Source organism: Homo sapiens, chromosome 12 (genome assembly GCF_000001405.40).
Source record: "Homo sapiens chromosome 12, GRCh38.p14 Primary Assembly".
NCBI classification, from domain to species: domain Eukaryota; kingdom Metazoa; phylum Chordata; class Mammalia; order Primates; family Hominidae; genus Homo; species Homo sapiens.
Window position 1 is genome coordinate 103629997 of NC_000012.12, and position 25681 is coordinate 103655677.

General features: G+C 42.1%; 1 protein-coding gene across 6 annotated transcripts in view; it reads left to right on the top strand.

The window, feature by feature from the left end:
- The window catches only part of STAB2 (stabilin 2), a 179447-nt gene that overhangs the window by 42724 nt on the left and 111042 nt on the right, over positions 1-25681 (top strand). For all 6 annotated transcript variants that reach the window (XR_007063104.1, NM_017564.10, XM_011538537.3 and 3 more), the window contains exons 6-15: positions 1602-1697; positions 7115-7240; positions 8020-8216; positions 10127-10260; positions 18694-18827; positions 20500-20582; positions 22560-22709; positions 24559-24702; positions 25255-25311; positions 25460-25585. Coding sequence is in view for 5 of the 6 variants with exons in the window: in NM_017564.10 (NP_060034.9) it covers positions 1602-1697; positions 7115-7240; positions 8020-8216; positions 10127-10260; positions 18694-18827; positions 20500-20582; positions 22560-22709; positions 24559-24702; positions 25255-25311; positions 25460-25585 (1247 nt within the window). In the remaining variant the exon portion in view is untranslated. The remainder of the gene's footprint in view (positions 1-1601; positions 1698-7114; positions 7241-8019; positions 8217-10126; positions 10261-18693; positions 18828-20499; positions 20583-22559; positions 22710-24558; positions 24703-25254; positions 25312-25459; positions 25586-25681) is intronic.

Consider the following 25681-nt stretch of genomic DNA (forward strand, 5'->3'; position numbering starts at 1 on the left):
TATCAAGGTTAGAGTCAGGTTGGAGTGGCCATTGTTTACCAAACTGAGAAATCTAAATTTTATTTGGTTGGTAATTGAGAGTCATTGAGATATTTTGGGGAAGGTCACCCTGATGCCTTTGCTAATCAAATGAAATGAATGAAATGGAGAGGCAAGAAACTGGAAATAGCAAGACGAGGTATCATGCTACTGCAATAGTCCAGGCAAAACATGATAAAGGCCTCAACAAGAATGGCACCAGTGGAGATGAAGAGCAGAAGATCAAGGTGGGAGACAGAGACAGAGAAAACAAAGGATTTGATGGCTTATTAGATGTTTGGAATACTTTAAACTTTATTCATCCTTGCTTTGCTGGTATTTCTGGTTAAGTTTTTAAGCAGGTGCATCTTCTTAATTATGTTTCATTTGAGCTAACATTAAGTTGGCTTACGTGCACCGAAGACACGTGTAGTAGGCAGAAAAATGAGCCCCCAAAATGTCCTAATCCCTGGAACCTATGAATATGTTAGGTTATATGGCAAAGGAGAATTAAGGTTGCAGGTAGAATTAAGGTTGCTAACTGGCTGGCTTAAGATAGGGAGAGTATCCTGGATTATCCAGGTGAGTCCAATGTAATCACAAGAGTTGTTATAAGTGGATGAGAAAGACAGAAGAGAGAACCATAGAAATGGTAGCATGAGAAGGATTTGGCCTGCCATTGTTAGCCCTGAAGATGGAGAAAGGGTTTCATGAGCCCAGGAATAAAGATGGGCTCTAGAAGCTAGAAAAGACAAAAGAAAAGATTCTCCACTAAAGCCTCCAGAGGAATAGCAGCCCAACTGAAACATCAATTTTAGCTCAATGAGTACATTTTGGACTTCTCACCTCCAGAATTATAAGATAAATTTGTGTTGTTTTAAGCCACTAAGTTTGTGGAACTTGTTATGACAGTGATAGAAAACTAATACAACATGCTGCAGACAGGGCTGGCCATAGGATGACAATGGCCTAGCCTGATAGTAAATCTTGCTACAAACCAACCACAAACTAAAGAGTTGACCATTCACATTCATTTCAAATGCCCTTCATTTATCATCCCTGAAATGATCTGTCACTGGGCTAAAACATCAAGCTAGAAAATATGGCATGGTTATTCTAGACCCTTTGGAATATTTTCCTTTTTTTATCCTTGCATCACCCCATCAATAGGTAGGACTTATTTATATAGATATCTGCTACCAACAGTGACTGAGTTAGTAGTAGCTTTTCTCTTTTAAACGTAACAGGTGTATATAAGACACTAAATTAATTCTCTTGTTGAGGTATCCAAAGATGAAGTAAATAGTTTGAGAGCAGGGAAAAGAACTCCAATGCACATGATATGCCTCATATGCTTTATATACATTATGTTACTTGACTCTATAGAAATCCCAGGAAGTAGGCATTCCTATCCATATGTTAAACTTAAAAAAAAAAAAACCTGGTGCTGATAAAAGAGAGAGGAGCCAAAGTTCAAACAACATGCAGAGTCTCAGCAAAGATGATCTAAAAACACTAGCTTTCCAGAATGTTTAGCAACAGTCTATGTCAGGTAATAAAAATCCCCCACTTTCTGTCTCCAGTGTGCAACTGTGTGCATGGGGTGTGCAACAGTGGACTAGATGGCGATGGAACCTGTGAGTGCTACTCTGCGTACACTGGCCCCAAGTGTGACAAGCGTAAGTACTGCTAGTTCCCTTAATGCCACACCAGATCAAACAGGCACAAATGTATGCATTTCAATTTTGTATCTGTTACTGGTTCTCTGCAGGGGCAAGGTACTACCAAAAGTTTTCTGGAAAGAAACTAGAAATTAAAAAGAGAATATAGAAGAGAAAAGGAAAGAAGAGGAGGGAAAGGGAGGAGGAGGAAGAGAGAGAACAGAAGCAATGTGGTGTCAAGGCTATAGCTGTGTTTTAGGAAGGTTGAACTGGAGGCCAGGTGAAGGGTAGAATGGAGAGAGGGACACCGGGACTGGGAAGCCAACACAACCCATCTCAACAAGTGAGTCACCTAGTAAAGGAGATACAGCATCTTCTCAATTATGAGCCTCAAAGGCGGAACACATTAACAGCCCTAAGGAAGAGGAAAGGGTGCTTCACCAACGCTGAGTGATTCACCAAAGGCCACACAACTAGGAGAGCTGGGACTCAAGTCATTTGAATCCATGGGAAATTCTGAAAACAATCTATTATACTGGGTCCAATCAAGAGCTGGAAACCAAGGGGTGATTTAAACAAGGGAAGTTTAATAGGGATAATTAGTACGCTATGATAGGAGAGCAGCTGTAAAAATGCAAACACAACTCTAGAGAGGATGGAGCATAACAAAGGAAGGAGAAATTTGGAATGGGGTGGCCGTCCCCAAGGCTGGATTTAAACCTTGTTGGAGAGGGTGTGGTGGGTGGCCGAGAAGTTTGCTGTTTTATCCAGGCCAGCACTGGACCACAGTCACCTAGCAGGCATGGGGCAACCCTCCAGGGCCTTGGGGAGCTGAGGCTGGTGGGTGAGGCACAGGAAATCAGGGGCCTCTCAGGCAAAATCCTGGAATACACAATGTCTATGTCGAGAGGGCTGTGGGAAGGTAGTCGCTAGGTCCAGGCCAAGGATGCAAGGTCAGCCACTGAGGAACTCTGGGTGCACCGCTGGGGCAGAGCATCCCTGAACAGACCCTGCAGCAGCAGCAAAGGAACACGCAGCAGCAGCAGCACACTGCACCCTGGAGGCAGAAAGAGGAGTTCCCGCCTCCCACCGTGTCCCGCCAGCGCCCTCTACTGGCAAAACTTAACATCGACCTGTGAAGGAGAAACTCACAGGATGGCAGAGCCGGGGAGCTGAGATGTTAAGAAATCGACCATTCTGCCTCTGCCACTAGCCTCATTTAACTTATCCTCGGGACTTTAGTCTCCTGTAAAATGAAAGGGTTGGGTGAGATTGAAAGTCAGCAAATGCAAACTCATTTTATTGGAAGCGGTTGAGATGCCGTGAGCGGTGGTAGTAACAGGATGAATAAACTCAGCCTCTGCCTTCTTCCTGTAGCTGGGACAGCCATGAAAGCCTCCAGTCCAAATGCAAAGGCAAGTGGGTAGGACAGGCCTTCTGTGGTCCTCAGTCAGCCTCCTTCCTTGGCCACTCCTGCCAGTGTGCAGTGGACTCCTGGGCAGAGGCCTTCTCAGTAAGGCAGGAGACCCAGTCCAGAAGCCAGCCTAAGGGAAAACCCTAATAGATATGCTTCCAAGTAAAAAAATAATAATAATTCTGTCCAGCCAAATGACAAGAGACTAGGACAAAAATATTTAAAATTCACATGGCAGATACATTTTTATAACAAAAAATTGGATTCATGTAAAGTCCAAAATCTAAATTTCAGAATAAGAAATGAAAACAGGCCGGGCCTGGTGGTTCATGCCTGTAATTCCAGCACTTTGGGAGGCCGAGGCGGGTGGATCACCTGAGGTCAGGAGTTCAAGACCAGCCTGGCCAACATGGTGAAACCCTGTCTCTACAAAAATACAAAAATCATCCAGGCATGATGGCGGGCGCCTGTAATCCCAGCTACTCAGGAGGCTGACCCGGGAGAATCGCTCGAACCCGGGAGGTGGAGGTTGTGGTGAGCCGAGATCACACCATTGCACTCCAGCCTGGGTGACAGACTGAGACTCCGTCTCAAAAAGAAGAAATGAAAACCAGCAATAAACATGAAAAAGGTGCTAAGTCCACTAATCGTTACATACATACTTATTAAAATTCAGTCATATTTGGAGTCCTGGAGGTTTATTTTCATTTGTTTTTTTATTTTTGCCCACTATGTTACAAATTTTACCCATCTGTGGGTATGAGAAAAATGACAGTAAGAATGTGGATTCCTACAACCTACGGGAGAAATTTATTTACTAAATTTGAAGGTATGCTTATAGTATGCTTCTGTGTCCCCAATTCTAAGAATTTACCCCGGGAGAGGAGAGGAATTAGACAAAGGTAAGCATATATGATCAAATAAATTTATGGAAATGCTATTTGTAGGAGGATAACAAGCTGAAAACAACTTGAATTCCCACCAGTAGGAAATTGGTTGAATAAGTTGTGGTACATCCTATACTAGTTAGGATAATGCTAGTTGCTATAAAAAATAAACACAAAACTTCAGTGGCTTAACACTATGGTTTTAAAATTGTGCGCCAAGGTGTCCCAAGGTACTACAATCAAATTTACTGGCTACTATTGGTATTTTAAATTTCTGAGGGAAACACAGAGATACATCTGTCAGATACCACATGAACTGCTAGCTTGAGTTGGTTCACAATTTCAACATGAGGTCGCACTAATTCCTTGCAGTGACATCATATCTTTGCAAAGGTACATTTTCAGTGATTGCTATGATAAAAGGCAAGTACCGTGTGAAAATCAATGTGACTGAAATGAGGGTGCCAGTCTACAATCTGTATCAAACTTTAAAGTTTGAGAAGTTGTGCAGTGTCCAACACACTCACATATCTTATACGTAGGTCAATGTGGTTACTTAAGAATAGACATTTTTCTATTAAGCATGTCACTTTTTCAAATGGCTGCTAAGTGATTCTAACAACTAAATAAATGAATCTTTTCGGTGTTTCTTTTGATGTCGGGATACCATGAAAAAATTATTGGGAACCTCTGGCTTGACACTAAAGAAGTGTAGTTCTCACTCATGTAACAGTCCAATGTGGGTGTTCCTGGCTGGCGCCAGCTTCCCCCTACATGGTGATTAGGGATCCAGATCTTTCCATCTTGTGACTCTGTCATTCTCTAGTACCTCAGAGTTCTCTGCTTCCTGCCATCACAGATGGGAAAGAGAAGATGGAGAGGCACCTGCTTATGAAAGTCCAGGAAAAATATATAAAACCTCTACTCAATATTCCATCAGAGTGAACTAGTCACGTGATCTTTCCTGGACGTAAAGTGGGGTGGAAAATGTAATCCTGAAGGAGCAGCCACTTTCTGCCAAAACTTCGGGTTTATGGAAGGGGTGGGGGAATAGTCTCTGTGAACTATTTTACTCAACTAGCCACTGTTGGGAGACAATTCTCCATGCATCTCTCACATGTGTGCACATCTTGAGAGCAATACACTGACTGCTCTTTGTTCCAGATCATCTGTTCAAGGATGTTTGTATACTGAACAGACTTGGAAAACATAGTATCTCCCTCAGGAGCAAAGGGCAGGCATGCTCACTGCCAGTGCCTCTCAGCTCCAAAGCCACCCTTTTTGCCTGCTCGTGATAATGGAGCTGGGCTTTATAAATGATTCTCCTTCACTAGCTAGCAAAACGTGAAGCCTTATCAATGAAGAGTGCCAGAAGGACTGTAGAGGAGGAAGCCGGGGCTCTCTCCCTGTTTCTGGTTTGACTCACTCACCAGGCTCCCGAAAAACAGCTTTTCTCTGTTTCTTAGCCCCACATGGTTTCTCCAGTGCCGGGTTCCTGCAGAGCTCAGCTCCCTCCAGCATTTGGCCACTGCACACTGTCCAGTGCTTGACTCAGGAAGTGGCAGCACAGCCAGGAGCCCCAGACTGCGCAGGCCCATGCCTCAGCCCAGGGGAAGGCTGTTCGGTACTCCTCTCCTCAGCCCCATGCACAGCAAGGCCCCTGAAGAGCTGGTCATCTGGAGAGCTGGACACATCCCCTGAATCCCACACAGCTGGTCTGGAGCTGCCCAGGCCTGAACCACACACAGAGGTGCACTGCATGACAGAGAGGTGGCTTCTTAGCTGCTGCTGCCAGCAGCGCCCACTGGCTAACAGATTCCTTTGGCACCTAGTGAGTTCCAAGGCTTGTGACCTCCCCATGCATGACCTCCCAGCCACCCCAGAGAGCAGATTTCCAGCAAATATTGTCAAGGCATCTCTGCAACTTTGCTATCCAGTGACTAACGCCATGCTTTTTCCAGTGGTATTCAGATCTCAGCCTGGAGGGAAGAAGGTTATACGTTGGGTACTTGTCTCAGCCCTAGTACAGTAGTTGCTCTTTATAGACCTGCTATTTCTTTATTCTTTTTTTAATTTTATTATTATTATACTTTAAGTTTTAGGGTACATGTGCACAACGTGCAGGTTTGTTACATCTGTATACATGTGCCATGTTGGTGTGCTGCACCCATTAACTCGTCATTTAGCATTAGGTGTATCTCCTAATGCTATCCATCCCCCCTCCCCCCACCCCACAACAGTCCCCGGTGTGTGATGTTCCCCTTCCTGTGTCCATGCGTTCTCATTGTTCAATTCCCACCTATGAGTGAGAACATGCGGTGTTTGGTTTCTTTATTCTTTAGAATTATTTTATTTTAAACTCTCACTAGCTGATTTTTCATGATTTTAATTGTTCATAATCCTTTATAGTACAACTTTCCCTGTTCAAATAATTATGTGGTTTCTGTCTCCTGCTTGTCCCTAAATAATACATTGCCCATTTTTTAAAAAAAATAGGTACCCTAAGATCAGGGCTCACCTCCTATAATGAAACCCACTGCATGTACATGTCTCAGTCTAGTCCTCTTTGAATTGCCCCATGGGAATTGAGGTTTGGAAAAACTGGTGCCAAAATGCTGATACCCTGGCTGCTGCCCCTGCTGTAAGTATTAAGCTGTACTTCACTCTAACCCAGAAGTTTTGTATCTTCTACCAGCATCCATGAAACTTTATTAGCCCAACTTGTTCACTTTGCAAGTTGGCTGATGTCAGACTCTTCATAGCTTTTGACAGCCATCTACGTCACACCTACCTTTTGAAATACTATGCAGTTACTAGAGATCAAGGCAGATCCTTAAAGACTTTCATAATATATCGTTAAATTAAAAATTACATTGCTAAATATTTTAACAGGATTCTATTTTGTTACAAAATCAGACAAATAAATGTTATAAATTAATATATTTTATTGATTGATGATATCGGTAAATTTGGGAGACTAAGAAGAAGACAATTTTAACTTAACGTGTTCTGTATTTTTTAAATTATTACAATGAGTTTGTATTGCTTTTTAATAAAAGGGAATACTGCAGTTTGGGGGTCTTAAGAACTGGTTATTCTACTAATGCAAGTACTTCAACAATTTTCCTATGCAGCCATCCCTGAATGTGCAGCCTTGCTCTGCCCAGAAAATTCCAGATGTTCGCCTTCCACTGAAGATGAAAACAAACTGGAATGCAAATGCCTTCCCAATTACCGAGGCGATGGCAAATACTGCGACCGTGAGTAGAATTTAGATTCTGCTAGTTTATTCATTGAGATGTTTAGGTTATTTAACAGGAAAAAAAAATCTCACAACCTCCTTAACACAATGACCATTTCTATTTCTCGCTGTGTAGTTGAGTGAAACGTATATAAAAGGTGCCAAGCAAAATGCTCAATAAATGGCAGCTTCTCCTTCTCTTATGAAAGCACATATAGAGATTTTTATGTTTCCATATCACCTTAATCAATGTTAGAACATTTAATGCTTCTTATTTTATCTTTTTGATTTTATTCACTTTATAAAAAGCTGTATTATGTATCAGTTAAAAACATGGACTCTCAAGCCAGACCGTCTGGGTTCAGTCCCAGATCTGCCTTCTACTGACTACATGACCTTTAACCTGCCGTGTCTCAGTTTTTCTGTCTATGAAATGGGGATAATAATGGTACCTACTTTCAGGGATTATTGTAAAGATTAAATGAGTTAATACATAGCAAATTCTTAGAGCAGGGCTTAGTACATATTATAAATTCTGTAAGTGTTAATGTTTTCTTTCATGCTGTTTTATATTTAACTACACACACAAAATGGCCTACTAATATATCAACACAATATCTGTACAATTTCTGATGGCCATACATAAATCTGTCTGGTTCAGGGGGAAATGAAAGGAAATGTTTGTCTTTGAAAACTGTGAGTTGCCTTTGAGGTTTTGATCCACTGTTGCTCACGGTTCAGTTTTCCTTCTCCATCCCCGTTAACTAACTGCCTCTCATTTTGCTGTTGCCTCTCAAGCCATCAATCCATGTTTACGAAAAATCTGCCACCCTCATGCTCATTGTACGTACCTGGGACCAAATCGGCACAGTTGTACATGCCAAGAAGGCTACCGTGGGGATGGCCAAGTGTGCTTGCCTGTGGACCCCTGCCAAATTAACTTTGGAAACTGCCCTACAAAGTCTACAGTGTGCAAATATGATGGGCCTGGACAGGTGAGCAAATGATGCAGGGAACTGATGTATCTAGAAGTTTGACAAGCCACTATGTGTCACAGGTATCATTTGTCTTCTATGCCATCCCAATTCTCCCTTTCAATGTTCCGCTTGGTCTTCCCCTCCAGACAGTCCTCCATGTGCTCAGAGCCTGAAATCAGTGCCTGCTCACCCAGTCTATCCTTTAAACTCACACTTTCCCAGCTCCCCATCCAAACTTAATTGTCTTACGTTCTCTCCTGTCACAGTCCTATATGGTGTTTGGCAAAATATACACATAATTCAAAATTAGATTAACAAATTAACTGTTGAACATATGATTGACTTTTACCAGCAATCCTCCATTCTGCAATGGCTTTCTAATTTAAAAGGTGCTCTTAGAACCAAAAATACCCTGTTCCAAACGAATGAAACAGATAAAATGTCAGGCAGCACTGATAGATTATAGGGAGCAGTGGGAATATTCTGGGGAGAGACACTGTCCCTCTAAATGACATCAGGACCTTGACTGATAAAAAATCTGGTCAGGAGACCCTCACTGAGGAATCCAGTGGAAAGAGCCTTGGCCCTAATAGCACATTCGTCCATTGAGTATTTATTTAGTGGATGCCTTCTGTGTCCATAACTGCACATCAAGCCTTCAGTGAAGGAAATGTGTCCATACAGAAGGGTATTGCTGCACAGGTAGGAGGAAGGGCTCAGTGCCTGACCCAAACAGCCATGCAGTCTAATCACCTGGATGCTAGCTGATGGGAATATTCCTAGAATTCCCTGCAGAGAATCCACCCAACCTTGCCTCCAAAGAGAAAGGATATATTATGCAACATTTTTCTGCTATCGATTTCTGGGGAAGGATTGCAGAAAAATTCAAGGGGCTAAATTCCCATCTGCAAAATGAGGGTCTTTATGGGAAAATTAATGTTATGCCATGAATGTCAAGACCTCGCATGTGAGATAAAAGATATGCTTTATCTCTGAAAATGGGTTCCAAGACAGATTTTCAAGTCTTAGAAATTCTCCATTGTTCACACAGAAGCAGCACGTGCATGATTCCAAAGCAGGGTTTCTCTACCTCAGCATTTTTCACATTTTGGGCTGGATAATTCTTTGTGGGAAGGGGCTTTCTTGTGCATTGTGAGGTGTTTAACAGCATTCTTGACCTCTGGTAGCACCGCCTCCTCCCATCATGGCACTCAAAAATGTTTCCAGGCTGGGCATGGTGGCTCATTCCTGTAATCCCAACACTCCGGGAGGCTGAGGCAGATGGATTGCTTCAGTCCAGGAGTTCAAGACCAACCTGGGCAACATAGCGAAACCTCGTCTCTACTAAAAATACAAAAAATTAGCTGGGCATGATGGTCCACACCTGTAATCCCAGCTGTCCGGAAGACTGAGGTGGGAGAATCACATGAGCCTGGGAAGTAAAGGCTGCAATGAGCCAAAATTGCATCACTACACTCTAGCCTGGGCAACCAGAGTAAGACCCTGTCTCAAAAAAAAAAAAAAAAAAAAAACACTTGTTTCCAGATATTGTCCAGTGTGTCCTAGATTGAGACTCCTGGTTGGAAACCATTATTCTAAAGCAATAATACCTCCCATTTGGACATCAATTTCTGCTCACCTATAGACAATCTAAAACTGGGACTTATGGAGCTAGGGAGGTCAAGGGTTAGGAAACAAGAAAATTGAAGCTAAACTTTATAAGCAAGGAGTATAAGCTTTCCAGCAGGTGACATGTGTAAACATGATTTCTACTTTTAGATACTTTGACAAATTTTTAGTTTAAGTCCACACTTCAGACATACTCTGAGTGAGTTTTTATGGAAGAATAAAAATACAAATTAAAGAAGAATGCCAGCTGAAGTAACTAACTAGGATCCTATTTGTTTTTCTCTTCCTGTCTACTGAAGTCTCACTGCGAGTGTAAGGAGCATTACCAGAATTTCGTACCTGGAGTGGGGTGCAGTATGACTGATATATGTAAATCAGATAACCCGTGTCATAGGAATGCAAATTGCACCACCGTCGCACCAGGCCGAACTGAGTAAGTCTTTTCAATTCCTCCACCAACATTTCCAAGTGGTGAAAATGGTGTCCAGTCATTGCTGTAAGTTTCTTGAAGGGGAGGAAATGTGTCTTATTCAGCCTTGCATCCACCCCCACCCCACATAGTAGGAGCAAGGATTGTAGTAGGTACTCAATAAATCTTTAATTAATTAAACACTCAACAATTATTTCCTTTATATGACCATTAGAATACTCTGGAATATTGTTGTGGCCTGATAACTTGATATGAAGTGGTCAGAATGTGGGAGAAGGAAGCCACTGCGACTGGGGAAACAAATGGTTGTTGAGATTACAGGGTTATGACCTCTAATGTACATGCCTGTTTCCTCACTCATGACATATTGCTTGTTAGAGGTGCAAAACAAGACTAGGGAAAGTGAATAAGCACTAGTGGTGTTTCCTGGACTCTAGATTTCAAAAGAAGGGGTTTACTGTGAATAAAAACATTTGTGTGAAAGTTTCTGAGGCAAAGGCAGCTCACATGATAGAAAGAAGATGGTATTTGGACTAAAGATCTAGGTTTAAGTCTCAGCACTGATACCTACCAGATGCATGACCAAGGAAAGTGGCACCATATCTCTGGCCTCAGTTGCTCCATGTGTAAAAGGAGCACAATGATTTATACTTCATAAGGTTGTTGTGATGATTACATGAGAGAATGTTTCTAGAAACTATGACACCAGTGTAATGTGTTTTCATTAGTGACTGACCTGAAGCTAGAACCCAAGTCTTTGACTCGCAGACTGAGGTTTCTATCTCTGTTCCATTTTCAATTCTCGCTACCATCAGCATCTGAGAAAGACTCATAGTGCCATTGTGAGCTCAAAACCACAATCAACATCGAACCATAGCATGATAAAACAGTTTCTGTGATTCCAGAGCCCCCTTCATCTTTTGGGAAGTTCACGCCTTTTATAACTGGGTGGTCAGTGTGTAGATTTGCCCCAACAGGTTGTATTATCATCATGTCCTATCTGGACAAATAAATAGATCTGTACTTATTGTACATGGAGTGGAAAGAGCTGGGATATCAGAACACTTAGGTTCAAATCCCAAGTCTGCCCCTTACCTTACCCTCTCTGAACTGATGTTTCTTCAACCATAAAAGGGAGAGAACTATACCTCCCACCAGGGCTGTGCTGAAAGTTAAACAGGATTACATTCGTCAATCTCTGAGAAGAAGATGGCACCTAGAAATCCTTCAATACATGTGAATGCACACACAAATACACCACAGCCATGCATATAGGCACAGAGGCACCCAACACACATATGCATCCAGGCACACCCTCCCCTCAAACATATATTCTGGCAATACTGAGAACCAAACAAGCTGGTGTATGCATGTTTTACCACCCTCTGAGAAAGTCTAAATAGAATACCTTAAGCGAACTCTTTCCTTGTGTTTGAGAAGATAAAATCTAAAAATGAAATGAGAATATCAGAATAATATAAGCTGCTTCCAAATTTGTGTTTAGAATGTCAGATAACCTAACATTGTGATGTTAGGGGTACATGTATCACCCACAAACCTTCCCACACCTCAAATTGACTGTCTTCAGCCAAAAAAAGGCCTAAGTAAAAAAGCTAGCTAAGTTATATTGATAAAATATGAAGTCATCAGTCCTCAGGTAATTTAGTTCATCTGGGATAAAAATTTATTTCATTTATGCCTTCTCAATATGGCAAGTAGCTTATGCAGAATCTTCAAAATCAGACTGCATTTGTCACAGAAGACCACCTGATCGAGAAGGGTGGGTTGAAACATGAACTCTACCACTCCCCCTGGGGTGACCTTAGGCAAGACTAAACTTTTCTAAACCACAGTTCCCTCACCTGTCAAGTAGGTCTAGAGACCAGGAATCTCTGCCTGTGGAGAGCTAATGAGTTCATGTATATAATATGCTTTTAAACGCTAAGCTCCATTTTGATTCTTACTGAGAACAAATAACTTTATGCTTTGCCTTTTTACTTTTACTTATTAATAGATGTAGGAAGTAAGGGACAGTAGAAGAGATGAGCATTTCTCTCTCATTTAACTAAACTCAGCTGAAAAATAGCCAGGACACGGCTGAGTGGGCCTATTGTAATAAGCACAGTTTACATTCCAGTTGTGCAAAAGTACAAACAACAGTGAAGTGTAGGGACTCTTGGAATGCTAGTGACATTGATGATATTCAGTGTTTATATAAGATCTGTACAGGTTGGGATATCCTCAGTGTAAACAGTCTTCCCAAGAGTCCTTTCCAAGGCAACATGGTACAGTGGCAAGAGACATTCTCAGATGGATCTAGTTTTAAATCCCAGCTCAGCCACTGCCAGATGTGTTTCCAGCAGTTTGACCCTTAGACCTGGGCAACAGGAGCCCCTCCCCTGGGCACTGCATGTTAGAAGCTCCCATTCTGGCCCTCTGCTGGCTACTCCAGGGCAAGGAATCTGAACGTCCAAAGGGGCATGCTCCCCAAGAGCCTGGGCCCCCCACTAGACCACACTCGGGGTACTCAGAAGCCTGCAATTTCCTGCCCAAACAGCTCCAAACCAGCTTCCAGGGCCTGAGACCATTCCCAGGGTATGGAGGATATGGCCAAAAGTGGCTGTTCATAGCAGGTGCAGATAAGCCAGCATTATCTCCACCATACTTGTGAATATACCCTTGCCTCAGGTTCTGCTGAACTACTTATTATTTGTCTTGGTCTGTTTGGGTTGCTATAATAAAGTACCATAAACTGAGTGGCTTATAAACAACAGGAATTTATTTCTCACAGTTCTGGAGGCTGGGAAGTCCAAAATCAAGGTACCAGTAGTTTCAGGATCTGGTGAAGCCTGATTCATAGGTGGTGACTTCTTACTGTGTCCTCCCAAGGTGGATAGGGGTAGGGAGCTCTCTGGGACCTCTTTTCTAAGGGCACTCATTCCATTCATGAGGCCTTTACTTTCTTGATTTAATTATTATACCTCCCAAAGGCCATGCTTCCTAATAATACCATCACACTGTGGGTTAGGATTTCAACATATGAATTTTGAGGTGAACACAAACATCCAGTCCATCGCACTGTTCTTCAAACATGCCATGGTGCTCCCCACTCCTGGCCCTTGCACGTGCTCTTCCTTCCACTTAGGATGCCATCTCCGTGCTCCACCCACCTCCTGTGAGTCAGCCTAACACCCTGCTCCTTCAATGGCCAGCCTAAGTATCTCCACCTCTAGGATGCCTCCCTGTCCTCCCAGTGCTCTCTGATGCCCCTCCCTCTGGGCTCCCAGAGCACCCTGGAATGTGTCTATGAGAGAATTTAGGGTCCAGAACTGTGATAAGGATGTAGCACAGTGGCAGTGAGCATAGGCGCTGCCAGTTACAGGCTGTGTGATCTTGAGTGAGATACTTAACTTCTCTGTGCTTCAGTTTCCTTATCTAAAATGGGGCTAATAACAGGACCTACCTTATAGGGTTGTTGCATTAGAAAAGATACCACACTGAAGCCCTTATAAGACTATGTAGCATAAGAGCTATTAATAAATGCTGGCTATTAGCCGCCCCGACCGGGAGGGAGGTGGGGGGGTCAGCCCCCCACCCGGCCAGCCGCCCCGTCCGGGAGGTGAGGGGCGCCTCTGCCCGGCCGCCCCTACTGGGAAGTGAGGAGCCCCTCTGCCCGGCCAGCCGCCCCGTCCGGGAGGTGAGGGGCGCCTCTGCCTGGCCGCCCCTACTGGGAAGTGAGGAGCCCCTCTGCCCAGCCACCACCCCGTCTGGGAGGTGTACCCAACAGCTCATTGAGAACGGGCCATGATGACAGTGGCGGTTTTGTGGAATAGAAAGGGGGGAAAGGTGGGGAAAGGATTGAGAAATCGGATGGTTGCCATGTCTGTGTAGAAAGAGGTAGACACGGGAGACTTTTCATTTTGTTCTGTACTAAGAAAAATTCTTCTGCCTTGTGATCCTGTTGATCGGTGACCCTACCCCCAACCCTGTGCTCTCTGAAACATGTGCTGTGTCCACTCAGGGTTAAATGGATTAAGGGTGGTGCAAGATGTGCTTTGTTAAACAGATGCTTGAAGGCAGCATGCTAGTTAAGAGTCATCACCACTCCCTAATCTCAAGTACCCAGGGACACAAACACTGCGGAAGGCCGCAGGGTCCTCTGCATAGGAAAACCAGAGACCTTTGTTCACTTGTTTATCTGCTGACCCTCCCTCCACTATTGTCCTATGACCCTGCCAAATCCCCCTCTGTGAGAAACACCCAAGAATGATCAATAAAAATAAATAAATAAATAAATAAATAAATAAATAAATAAATAAAAATAAAATAAATGCTGGCTATTATTATAACTTATCTCAATCCCCAACTAGAATATAAGGTCCATGTCTTACTCATCTTTGCTGCAGCAATGCCTGTCACCAATTAACACAGTGAAATGATAGGTACAAAAAATATAAACAGATAGAATGAATAAGACCTAGCATTTGATAACACAACAGGGTGACTACAGTCAACAACAATTTATCGTACATTTTTAAATAACTGAAAGAGTATAATTGGGTTGTTTGTAGCACAAAGGATAAATGCTTGAAATGAGAGCTATCCCATTTGCCTTGATATGATTATTATGCATTGCATGTCTGTAACAAAATAGCTCGTGTATCCCATAAATGTATACACCTACTATGTACCCACAAATGTTAAACATAAAAATAAAATAAGAAATAAAAAACAGTGAAATGAGTGAGAATTTGGAGGAACAAATGAAACAATGAAGAAATGAAATGAACCAGTGAAGAAATAAAGGAAGCAACTGTACTAAGACTTTGAGACACCCTATATACTAACTAAATCTCAACCAGCATTAAGTGTAATTAATTTTAACCCATAACTGTAAAATGCAAATGGCTTCTGGGTGTTTTTAAAGCCTTAAGACAGCAAGAGACATTTACTCCTAATAAAAAGAAAACAATTTCCTAAAGAGGTGATGTTGTGAATGTTCCATGGCTCAACTGAGAACAGTTAAGTCAGAAACTGGTCTCATAACGTCTCAGACTTTGGACTGAGATTTGAAATAAAAATTTAAAATAGTGATGTCTCATGCATTCCATTAGCACTGAGGCCATAAAAATATGATTCTCCTGCAATCCTTAGGAAAGAAAGGCCAAGTCACTTGACACAAAACAGACCATTGGCCACCTAACAACTCAAGAAACTTTTACAGAGAAACATACTCAGTGGTTTGTAAAGGTTACATGTCTTGCTGTTAACAGTTGTCTTCAAATGAAGGAATGTAACTTATAGTAGGATTAATTTTTAAGAATGACTGTTGTCTTATGTCACTTCCCAGAGTTACCAGTCTCCTCCTTTCCATCATTAAATTAGCGTAGCACAGTGCTTGCAGAGGAGGTTGACATTTAAGTAGGAAACTATTATTTGATTGTATTAAATTGTTTCATGATTAGATCTACTTTACTAATTCCTTATAAAAAGGTTTCTCAGCCTCAGCTCTACTGACATTTTTGGCCAGACAGTTCTTTGTTGTGAGGGGCTGGGCTGTGTAAGTAGATCCCCATCTCGGTTGTAGCAACCAAGGATGTCTCTAGACATTGCCAAATGGCTTCTGGGCGGGGCTGGGGAGGGGGGGCAAAATTGCCTCTGGTTGAGAGCCAATTCTTCATAAAAACCCCAAAGGCTTCATCAGTAAATGATCCCCCAAGTGTTTGTCCAGCTAGAAAACTCATAGGCAGCCGAGCACGGTGGCTCACACCTGTAATCCCAGCACTTTGGGAGGCCAAAACTCCAGCTACTCAGGAGGCTGAGGCAGGAGAATCACTTGGATCCAGGAGGCAGAGGTTGCAGTGAGCTGAGATCACGCCATTGCACTCCAGCCTGGGCAACAAGAGGGAAAACTCCAGAAAGAAAAGAAAAGAGAAAGAAAGAACTCATATGCAACCTTCTAGAATTAAATATTACTTTCTCCTAGAAGCTGTCCCCTATTTCTCCAGGTAAAATCAGTTACTTCCTTCTCCATGCCCTATAGCATCCTATTCAATCTTCTATCATGGCACTTACAATGAAACTTCATTTATCTCTCTACGGGCTGTCCTGGTATATCCCAGCACCTCTAGGTCACTGTTGTCATTATAGTCACCTTCCTCATCATGTCAGCCTTGTCCTTGTCGTTATCATCTGCCAAGCATTGAGCTTTTTCTATATGTCTGTCACAGTGCTATTTTTCTTTCCTTATCTCTCTATCAACTATCCTAAAGGTATTATTAAACCCATTTTATAGAAGAGGAAACTGGGACTCAAGGAGGTCAAGTGGCCTTACCATGTTGCTATAATTATTTTGTTTTCAGGTCCATCCTTAGCATGTAAGACTCAAGAAGGGCAAAGTGTCTCTTATTATCATCTTTGTAGCTCTCTTACCTAGAAGGTTCCTAGAATTAAGAAGGTACTTAAATAATCAGTAAATAATCAGTTAAACAATCAGGCACTGCCCTAAGTGCTAGGATATAATGAGGAATTATTATAGTTGGGATCCATCTTCTAGGACAGTATACCATCTAGCAGAAGAGACAATGTCTCCAGAGGTAGTTCTGGTGGATAGGGTTGTGATAGAGGTATCGATGGGATGTGCTGGAAGTGCTCAACACAACTGGGGAGAGGTCACACCAGAGTGATAAGGTGAGGATGGGAAAGCATTCCTGGTGGGACAAACAGGCTGAGAAAGGCATAACAGCCTAAAAAAAGAAGTAGTTTAGCGCTGCTGGAATTTTCAGTGGACAGCAAAAAGAAGACAGAGCAGGATTCTCCTGTGTACACTTTCTCATGTGGATAAAAGGAGTCAGTGAGGGTTTTAAGCACACAGGTGCCAGAATTTTAAAGCGCAGTCAGGAGACTGCATGAAAAACAGATTTCAGGGTAGAACATATGGGCAAAAAGACCAGGTTGAGGCTGTGCAACAATCCAGGCAGAGGGTGGTAGGATTCTGAAGGTCTGCAGCAAACTTGTTGAACATGTAATCTATTTGCCATGGAAATATATTTAGAAACACACGTGGATTAACCATAAAAAAAAAAGAGTGCATAGTCTTTCTTTAGAATGCTTTCCTCAATGTGAGTCACAGCTGTGGTGTGGTGTGAGCACTGCAAAACTGTGATGTAGTCACAGCACATCTTTTGTTCCCTGCATCTCTCCTCTCTGGAATGTTCTTCCCTTACTTCGCTTTGGTTCCTGGCTCATCTCCAAGATGCTTGTGAAAGTCATCTTCCTCATCACCTTGTCAATTTCAGCCAGCTGTCAACTCCTCTATACTGCATAGTTGTGGTCTGCTATAGCCAGAGCTTATGGACTCACAAGAGCTGAGTTTTAAAGTTTCAGAAATTTCACAAGAGGGTTAGCATCATCTTATTAGTTTGAAATTGGTCAAGATTGGCATATTAACCATGGAAATTGGCAAATGCTACAAAGTAGGGCTTCCCCCTCCCCCAGAGAGTTGGTTGTTAAACATTTATCAGCATACCACTGATAGTACATTTTTAACTCTACTTCTGTCTTATGAAACTATTGTACAAAATCTCTGTGATTTTCATTGTTTACATATTTATTTCATAGTTTGTATATTTATTTTCATTGTTTATATACTTCATTGTTTGCTATTTATTTAATTCAATTACTACTTATTGTACAACTATTGAGCACCTATTATGGACCTACCCTGTGCTGGATTCTGGAGTTCACAACAGTGAACAAATACACACATAGCCCTTACCCTCACTCTTTTCTCAAATGTTATAGGGAAGCAGATATTAATCAAATAATCACACAAGTCAGGGTGAAATTGCACTATGATCGCTGCTATGGAGAAGAGGTATGTGGTTTCATGAGAGTATATATAATGGAGACACAGTGAGGGAGTGGAGAAAGAGACAGGCAATCAAGGAAGCCTTTCTGAAAGAAGTGGCAATTGAGCAGAGCTCTCAGCTAGGAAGGAGCAGGGGTGGGGGAAGCATTCTAAGTAGATCAATAATGCTGAATCTTTGCTGTCCTGCAGGCTGAATTCAGTAGCTTATTCTGATTCAGTCATGCAGTGGAGCCCTAGGGTCCACATTTATTATATTAAATATGTTATATTAAATATATTAAGCACTCCAAGTGATTCTGATGTGCATGGTTTCTTGATCACACTTTGAGAAATACTGAGACAAAGAGCATACAAAGATATCTAGTGTTGACAGATACATTTAATTTATTAGGCATCCATTTCTTGAGGAGCTACTAGATGTCAGATACCACACTAGGAATGCTCTCTTGTCCCTATTCAACCCTGGGCATCCTTTGCTCCATCTGTTCAATGAGGGGATTGGACTGTATGATCAAAATACTCAATGGCTCTAAAACCCTGAGGATGTCTTTTCCCCCTCTCTGTAGATGCATTTGCCAGAAAGGTTACGTGGGTGATGGCTTAACGTGTTATGGAAACATTATGGAGCGACTCAGAGAATTAAATACTGAACCCAGAGGAAAATGGCAAGGAAGGCTGACCTCTTTCATCTCACTCCTAGGTACGCAGCTATGGGTACAGATTTCCACACAAAAGTCCTCTTTCAGGAAAGGGCATCTGCAAGATACAATGATTCAGAAAGGGACAGGCGAGCCTTGTCTATTAGAATCAGCCTTTTTGGAGGGGTCATGCAGGTGAGAGGGAAAGGGCAGGCAGCTGTTTCAAAGAAGACAAGCAAAGAGATAGTGCCAAGAGATCTAGCAATGCAAGAATTAGCAGGCAGAGAGCTGAGGACAGGGTTTGGGGGTCGCCATAGACCAACAGAGCTGCAGTAACAGTAAGAACAGGACAGCTACTGATGTGAGGATACAAACTGTCCCCCTCGTCCTTGACCTTCTAGATCCTTCAGGTATGAACAAAGCTTGGCAGGTAAAACTGGGAATAGAGAGGGTGACTGAGACCCCAGGGCAGCATCCTTGTTCCTCAGTGGAGGGGCTGTTTGAATTTTGGAATAGTCTTGGTTGTATGCAACCATCTTAGCACCCTTGGTCCCCCAGTCACTAATTGCCTACAGTGACACATTCACCTCCAGCCCCCCAGGCAAGGTGAGAGCCTAAAACACCCTCATGTATTTGCAAATGACTTCTAAGGGCCATTACTCCACACTCTCTAGAGAATGAAATATTATAACTGATCACAGCATTGGACACAACTTCCAATAAAACACAAATCCAGCCGTTCTGAAAAAAGTAAAACACAGACTTGGCCAATCAACAGAAACTTTAAAAATATCAGCTTTTATGTTGGAATTTACCAGTTGCCAAAAATGATCTCCCAGCAAGAACATAGATAAACCAGTGTAATTGATGGGTCAATGCTGTGTTCTCTGCATAAATCTTAAGGTTAAATATCCCATTTAATGTCTCCTGCATAAACATCCCATTTTTCCCAAGGCATCCCATAGGGCATCAAGTATTAGTGGCATCCCTTGGGCTCAGGGGCAATCTACCAGTTTCCTCACAGCCTTACTCTAAGAACTCTTAGAATACCAAATGGGACCAGACAGGGGGGAGGTAGTGTTTTTTGCAGACCAGGCCCTCCAACATTTCCCTAGACAGAGTCCTGTTGACCTTTCACCTTCCCCATGACAAAGTCCTTATACACTGCCTCTGGGTGTGAGAACACAGAGCCTGTCCTGTCGTCCCAGCTTCCCCAGGTGATGGAAGCAGGATTACCTACATACTTTGCTGGGCCCACTGGAAAGTGAAAATGTAGGATTCTTTGTTCAAAATTTATTAAGCATTTCAACATGGCAACTGCAGAGCATTAAACCAATCATCGGGGCTCTTCTGAGCTGGCCCTGGATAAAAACAAGGGCTGCCTCTTTGCTCACCGAGACAGTGACAACTCAAAGTTAAGCGCAGGATCAGGGACCCTGGGGTTGTGGTAGGATTTTGTCATGCCTGAACTGCTCAGCCAGGGTATCTTTGAAGCTGAGGCTGTCTGCAGGAAAACTCTCACGGCATTATGTGGAATGTATTGAGGCCATGGCTTTAGGGTGCCTTACATTCTTAGAGAGATTCCCAGTTGACACAGGGCCTACACATGCCCATTAGAATAGAGAAGGGCATAAATGGACCGGTCGTGACCCAAGACCTGTTGCCTGATTTTACTCCTCCTGTACCACTGACTCATTTGGCGTTTTCTTTCTTTGTGTTATTTCGACTCCTAAGACAAAGCTTATGCCTGGCCACTGAGTAAGCTGGGACCCTTCACGGTGCTGTTACCTACAGACAAGGGACTGAAAGGATTCAATGTGAGTATTTAAAATGACCCTACACCAAGGGGCTAATATGAAAAGCCTTAGTAGGGAGTACCTTCTTTTATTTAAAGTGGGAAATCCCCATTAAAATTAAACCTACTGATGATAAGGATGGTGATTTTTTGATAAACTTCTTTTAGTGATATATAACATCCTTACAGAAAGTATACAAATTGTAAGTGTACAACTCAGTGAATTTTCCCAACGTGAACCTACTTGTGTAAACACCAAGTCCATTGCCAGCAACCTAGAAGGCCCCCTGGTCCCCCTTTCCAATCATTACCCTCTACAGGTAACCACTGAGTGTTCTTAACATATATCCAGGTGATAAAGAAGATTTGCTTAAAGCAAAACTGCTCACTTCCCACAGGAAGAATTAAATTAATGTATTAGCTAGATATGTGGGTTTTTTAAATCATTATAAATGGTACAAGCGATAAGGAAAAAATAAGAAGAAAATTTTAGTCTTCAGTGTGAGCAGCTGTTGTTTGAGATAATGTCATCCAGTGGGAATGAAACTTGTAGTGCCTGGTGGAGGCGTCCTATCGAGATGGCATCACTAATATAGTTATATTTGGTCTAATGTAAATAATGGACTTATCGATTTGTATACAACTTATTATCTTCACTGGCCTCCATTTTAATCATTGTGTAGGAACTGGTATTCTATATATCTTTCTCCCTCCCACCTTTACCATCTAACATGTGTTTTTATTTTTCCTGATCTTGATTTTTTTTTTTTTTTTTGAGACGGAGCCTTGCTCTGTCACCCAAGCTGGAGTGCAGTGGCGCAATCTCGGCTCACTGCAACCTCTGCCTTCCGGGTTCAAGCTATTCTCCTGCTTCAGCCTCCCAAGTAGCTGGGACTACAGGCACATGCTACCATGCCCAGCTAATGTTGATATTTTTAGTAGAGAAGGGGTTTCATCATGTTGACCAGGATGGTCTCCATCTCCTGACCTCGTGATCTGCCTGCCTCAGCCTCCCAAAGTGCTGAGATTATAGGCGTGAGCCACTGCACCTGGCCCAGATCTTGATTTTTATTGTGTGTTCTTGTCATCTGTCTTAAATGCTCTGTGAAACAGATCAGCCAGAAATAAATAAACATTTAAGTAAATGGATTAACAAATACACATAAAATGATGGAAGCCAATAAAAGATTGAAATCTGGGAAGTGGGAAAAAATAAAAATGAAAAAATAAAATTGAGTTATCTTAATCCAAGATATTTTGTGGTAATAATTTTTGTTGCAATGAATCAAAACCCAGTAAGTTGCCGGCTCTCTAACCCTCATATACCACCACGATTAACCTGTCTGATATTCATCTCTCTATTGTTCACCTTCAGAGATGTCCTCATACCACTCCTGTTGGAAAGAACCAGCAAACATTGTATGCCTCTAGGCTAGGCACTTTGCACGTGGTCTCTCATTTAACACATAGTTTACACAGAGTTAATATAAGCATCTGTTCAGTGTTGACTACGTAGTAATGACAAAAGTAGATTTGATCCCATGGATTTCAAAAATCTTAACTTTTCTATTCAAAAGTACAATCAGCTTACTTGCTTTACCTACTCTTTCCATGAAACTTCAAATTTTATTCCCATCTGCTTTCCATGTTCAAGATAGATTCCTTGTTCCTTGTTCCTCCTGGGGCCATTGCGATGCTGTGCTTTCCCCATGTCAGTTTCAATGCTAAAGCAACCTCCCCTGGTTTGAGAGTAGATTGTGCATTGCCTCCAACTCTCCAGGTTTCTACTCCCTGGAAGGCCTGGCCCAGGTTGATTGCACTGATGGTAATGTATAGCAAGTATAATTGTCAGTGCTTTCATGCATTTGTATTTGCAAAAGCCCAAACCCAAGTTAGGGTGCCCTGGCTTTGATGTCTTTGATAATAAGTAAGGCACAGCATGTGTTACAAAACTCATTTTCTTCTTCAAATAATAGTAAAATTGGCTCTTCTCTCTTAGGTAAATGAGCTTTTGGTGGATAATAAAGCTGCTCAATACTTTGTGAAACTCCACATAATTGCTGGTCAGATGAACATCGAATATATGAATAACACAGACATGTTCTACACCTTGACTGGAAAGTCGGGGGAAATCTTCAACAGCGATAAGGTAAGGGTTCCTCTGATTTTCACTCCCAGAACTAAATTATCCACCAAGCCAATGCCCATATCCTTCTCTCTCTTTTTGTTTGGGGTTTGTGAAAAATTACAAGGAAATTCTTTCCTCATGTATTATTTGTCAAACACCTTATATAGGAAGAAACAGACAGCAACACCAGGGAAGGCCATGGAGGAAGGGTGGAGTGTTATGCAAATGGGGTTACAAAGTGTTTGACTTTGGTCTGGTCTGATTTAGTTTTCAAGGCAACTGTCATTCAACTGCCAGCAGGAAGGAGAAACTTTGCTATAAACCTGTTTCCTGAAAGCATCAGCACAAAGCCAGATCAGCATTCCTCTTATAGAAGGAAATAGATTGTATTTGTTTTAGATTGCTGGAGTTGATCCATCTTCTCCAACCTAACATTCCTCTCTCCCAATGCCATTAGTTCTGTTTGTTTTTTATATAAACCCATCCTCCCCCACCCCACCCCCACTTCTTAACTCTTTCTGTGATTTTATTGAGCTGGGGAGCAGGTGATTAGTCAACAAAATGTGCATGTATATAGGCATAGGACCTATACTATTACATTTTACTGAACATCGATAGTTAATAGATCCTTGAGTGCTTGTTCTAAGCAAAGTATGGGGATAAATCTTTATCTTTGTTACATAAGGCTCACAATAACCCTGTAAAGGAGGGACTTCATAATCCCTGTTGCTCCAGTAAGAAAGAAGAGAGGCCACACAGTAAGTGCCAGAGCCAGGATTCAAATGTGGCTCCAAAGTCCACATTCTTAACCAATCTGCTGCAGTGCATGTGTGAAGATGGATGATGCATGGATGGATGGATGGATGGATGGATACATGGATAGGTCACTGGATGGATGGATGGATACATGGATAGGTCACTGGATGGATGGATGGATGGATGGATGGATGGATGGATACATGGATAGGTCACTGGATGGATGGATGGATGGATAGATACATGGATAGGTCACTGGATGGATGGATAGATGGATGGATGGATGGATGGATGGATGGATGGATGAATGGATGGATGGATGGACGGATGGATGGATGGATACATGGATAGGTCACTGAACAGATGGATGGGTAGATACATGGATAGGTCACCGGATGGGTGGATGGATGGATGGATGGATGGATGGATGGATGGATGGAGAGATGCATGGAGGATGCATGGATAGGTGGATGGATGGATGGACGGATGGAGAGATGCATGGAGGATGCATGGATAGGTGGATGGATGGATGGATGGATGGATGGGTGAATGGATGGATGGTTGGAGAGATGGATGGAGGATGCATGCATGGATGGATGAATGACAGATAGGAAGATGTGGCTTGCTTTCTCACAAGGATATGCATGTATTTACCTGTTCATTCATTCAACCAATATTTACTAAGTCTGTCACTTATTAGGAGTTATATGGGAGGAAGAAGGAATTAGCTTCAGTTATTTATTCCACAAATAATTTTATTGTGTGCTTTCTCTGTGCAAGACACTAAAGTGAGTGATGAATTTATAGTAAATTAAATAGTTTTGTCCTTATGAAGCTTGCAGTCTGCTGGAGAAGAGCTTGATAATACCTTGCCCAGGTTTAGCATATATAGTTGTCAGTGCTTTCACACATCATATCATTTGATCTTAATGAAAACCCTGTGAGGTTAACAAAGCAGACACTTTCATCCCCACTTTAGATTAAGTGACTTATCCAAAATCACATTGCCAATAAATATCAAAGCCCAAGGACTCAAGACTTCTGACTCTACTCCAGTGCTTGCTCCTTCCAGGACACCATAGTAATCTTATTTTATCTTTCTTTGGTGTTTTAGGACAATCAAATAAAGCTTAAACTCCATGGAGGCAAAAAGAAGGTAAAAATTATACAAGGGGACATCATTGCTTCCAATGGGCTTCTGCACATCCTTGACAGAGCCATGGACAAGTTAGAACCCACATTTGAGAGCAACAATGAGGTGAGTATTCAGATAAAAGTCACATCAGGCCAGGTCCATCTTCCTTTGTTCCCTGGAGAGTCACATCCAGAGCATGCCAGCACTCTGTGCTTGTGCTTCGTTTGTGCTAGGATCCCGAGCAGAGAGAAGAAGAGGTGGTTTGTCTGTTTCCAATAGAAACCTGGGAATCTCTGCAGAAAGAAAGCAAGACGTACAGTAACATATGTGGGAAAGATCTGGATTTTTTTTTACCTCTTTTATTACTGCATCAGGCAACTCAGTCCATGACCAATCATCATGAAAATATTTTATAGAGGGCAGTTATTGCTGCAATAAAACTTATTACTTCTGACCTAGATGATGAGGGCCAAAGGATACTTCAGAACATGCAGATCTGAACTACTGTTTCAACGACAGCGAACATTTATATAATGCATTGCAGTTGACCAGGTTCATTTATATAAATCCATACTGACACATAAACTCTGTCATCAGTCTTTAAATGTTAGAATTTGTATTTCCTAAATCACAATATTTTATTTCCTGATTTTTAAGCAAAATGTCTCTTTTTAGCAAACCATAATGACAATGCTACAACCAAGGTACAGCAAGTTCAGATCTTTGTTAGAGGTAAGCACTTTTCATAATTTTCTGAAAAATATTTATGTCAAGACTTTTGTAAAATTAGCAGGGGTGTCAATTATAAATTTCTGGCGAATTATGTTAAATATTTGTCCAAGGTAGGCTGCAGATACAAAATTTCATTTCCCAAATGCAGGAAACCAATTTGGGACATGCCTTAGATGAGGATGGAGTTGGTGGACCATACACCATTTTTGTTCCAAATAATGAAGCATTGAATAACATGAAGGACGGCACTCTCGATTACCTCCTTTCTCCAGAGGTACCGTATTCTGCTTGCTCTGATGGCATCGTGTCAGCAGCACTGCCTCAGTCTGTGTCTAAACAGGTTTTTCCTAAACTAGAGATAGTAAATAAG